The sequence below is a fragment of the Homo sapiens genome, chromosome 1 (assembly GCF_000001405.40).
Source record: "Homo sapiens chromosome 1, GRCh38.p14 Primary Assembly".
In the NCBI taxonomy this organism is placed as follows: domain Eukaryota; kingdom Metazoa; phylum Chordata; class Mammalia; order Primates; family Hominidae; genus Homo; species Homo sapiens.
The window spans coordinates 76803612-76806975 of NC_000001.11; positions in this window are offsets into that span (position 1 = coordinate 76803612).

Below are 3364 nucleotides of genomic sequence, written 5' to 3' on the forward strand. Positions count from 1 at the left end.
ATACCTGGAGACCCAAGGTCATATTATAGTCCTCTGCTAGCATGAGGATATAGAGGGACAAGGCAATAAATGTAGTCCTAGCCTAGTTTCAGGTAACAGTGGGTCCATTAAGTTCTTGGACCTACCTAATATTCATTTTCTCAGTCCCCACATGTACAATTAGTATGTACACACCTAGCAGTTGGCATAGCTGACACAGGGAATGCTCTGCCTATAAGACAAGAGCTATTATGGTGGGGAAGGCCAAGTGAAAGCCTCTGAAATTGTTCCACACTCTAAGGCAACATAGAAAATTAAAAATAATATTACATCTCAGGGAGAATGGAAGAAATTCATGTCACTCTTAGACCTAAGAGATGTAGAGATGGTGATCCCTATCATAAGAGCATTTAATTTATAATTCTGACCTCTATGAAGGAGTAGATGAATCCTGGAGGATGATAGTGTGCTCCTGCAAATTCAAAGAGTAGGAACCCTATTTGTAACTGCTATACTAGATATGTTATCTATACTAGAGCAGATTAACACAACCTCAGATATATGCTATGCAGCTATTGATCTGGCAAATAAATTCTTTTCCACCCCTATCAGAAAAGAGGATCGGAAATAGTTGCGCTCACTCAAACAGACAGCAATATATATTTGCAGACTTGCCCTAGGGCTTTGTGGAAGAGACAGAACACAGGACATCAAATGATCATGCAGTCCGAACTGTCCATCATGTCAGACTCACCAACTCATAAAATTGGATAGGCCCAGCAGCAATCCATCTTAAATTGGAAGTGGTACAGCCAAAATTGAGCATAAGCAATTTTGAGGTGCACAAGCAGGCTATGGGAGGAGGTAGGACAGATCGACATGCCATCCACCCCGGTTTTTGCACCAGCAATTCTCCCTCACCCATTCTTCCACACCTATGGCCCCCTGGGCAATCCCTGATGACCCACTAATGGATGAAAAAAAGACCTCCAAATTTGGTTTATAGGTGTGTCAGTTTGCCATTGGAGTGAAAGCTGAAAATAAACAGTGGCAGCAATATGATGTCACTTCATGGTGTCCCTGACAGTAATGAGTGGAAATCCTCTCAATAAGAGTTTTGAACAGTTTACCAGGCCATCCAATCTGTGTCAAAAGTGAAGTGGCTCAATGCAAGAGTATACGTGGACTCGTGGACAGTAGCAAATGGTGCCCCTGGTTAGCCAAAGGCCTGAAAAGAGAAAAATAAGAACATCAGAAACAAGGAATTATAGAGAAGAGGGATTTGATAGTGAGCACTAAGTAGTTGTAATCTATCAAGATTATATTGCCACTTATTCTGTCTCGGCACAGTTCTTCCTTCTGCCCTTCATGCTCCTACATGGTGAACCCAAGAACACAACATAATATATCTTCAACTGAGAGTCTGCTACCTAGGGAAACCAACCTACAAAAAATACCTCAAACATTGAAATCATAACTTTGTTTTCTGCTGTATTGCCAGTGCCTAGTTCTGTCTGGCACATATTAGGTTCTTAATAAATACTTGTTGAATAAATTATTAAACCTCAAGGAAGCTGATTTGACAATACCCATGACAGAACTATTTCTGAGCTCTGTACCCAAATGTAAATTCTTGCCTCCTTGGTCCTAATGTAGGTTCTAGCAGCCTGAGGAAGACATAAAATGGCAAGGGGAAGAGGATCATTCTTACTAAATTTTGTAGGCCCAAATTGTCATAACCACAAACACACATACACATAGGCACACACACACACTCAAACAGACATACCAAAACACACACTTTTGTCTGCATTTTGGACAGCCATATTATATATTAATAACTTATAAAATCATTAATAACACAAAAATATCATTATAAAAGAATAGTTATTGAACTTCTTGATAAATTGTATTAGAGAAAAAATAGCATTTTTGTAGATCATTAGATCTTTTAAACCCACAAAAAAGAGTCACTTGGTTGTCATTCAATATTGCTGGCTTAACATTTTTTCATGGACACTCAAATGCAATGCATCAGTACAGTTGAAAATGTGCTACTTGTTGTAAAAATAATTTATGTTCATATATTCAAAATAACAGAGATATAAATTTTAAAATATATATATGTAGTGTTAGTTGAAGGCCAAACTGGAAGGGAGTTTGAGAAATGTTCTTGGTGATATTTGATGTTATGCATAATAGCATCTGCTGTGGTTTAAATGTGTTCCCCAAAGTTTATGTGTTGGAAACTCAATCCCAATGCAACAGTGTTGAGAGGTGGGACATTTAAGAGATGATTAGGTCATGACAGCAGACCCCTCATGGACTAATGCCATTATCATGGGGTTGGGTTAGTTAACATAGGAGTGGGTTTCCTATAAAAGGTTGAGAGTCAGCCTCCTCTCTCCCTTTTTCTCATGTGTGCACTCTCTTGCCCATATAATGCTTTCCTTCATGTTATGAGCTAACAAGAAAGCCCTCACCAGATGTGACCCCTTGATCTTGGACTTTCCAGCCTTCAGAATTATGAGCCAAATAAGTTTCCATTCATTATAAATGTTGAAGTCTGTGGTATTCTGTTATAAGAACGTAAAACAGACTAAGACAGAAAATTGATACCAAGAAATGGGGCTGTTTTTATAACAAATACCTGAATTTGTGGAAGTGGTTTTGGAACTGATTGAGTGGGTAGAAGGCTGGGAGAGTTTGGAGGAGCAGCCTAGAAAAAGCCTAGATTTCTGTGAATGGATAGTTAAGGACAATTCTGGTGAGGGCTCAGAAGAAGACAAGAGCTATAGGGAGAGCTTAAATCATAGAGATGCCTTAAGTGGTCAGGATCAGAATGTTGGTAGAGATATAGGCAGTAAAGGCCATTCTAGTAAGGTCTCAGAAGGAAATGAAGAACAAGATATTGGAAACTGGAGTAGAGGCCATTCTTGTTATGAAGTTGCAAAGTCCTTGTCCATGTCCTAGTACTTTGTGAAAGGCAGAACTTAAGAATGATGAACTAAGATATCTGGTGGAAGAAATCCAAGCACTTTTAGATTTCTCATCTTTTTCTGAGATGGATCCTCCCTCTGTTGCCCAGGCTGGAGTGCAGTGGCACAATCTCGGCTCACTACAACCTCCACCTTCTGGGTTCAAGCGATTCTCCTGCCTCAGCCTCCCAAGTATCTGGGATGACAGGTGCCCGCTGCCATGCCCAGCTAATTTTTGTATTTTTAGTAGAAACGGGGTTTCTCTATGTTGGCCAGGGTGGTCTCAAATTCCTAACCTCAAGTAATCCACCCATCTCGGCCTCCCAAAGTGCTGGGATTACAGGTGTGAGCCACCGCACCCAGCCACGTTCTTAGATTTCTCAGCAGCAAAGTGCTCAAGGTGATGC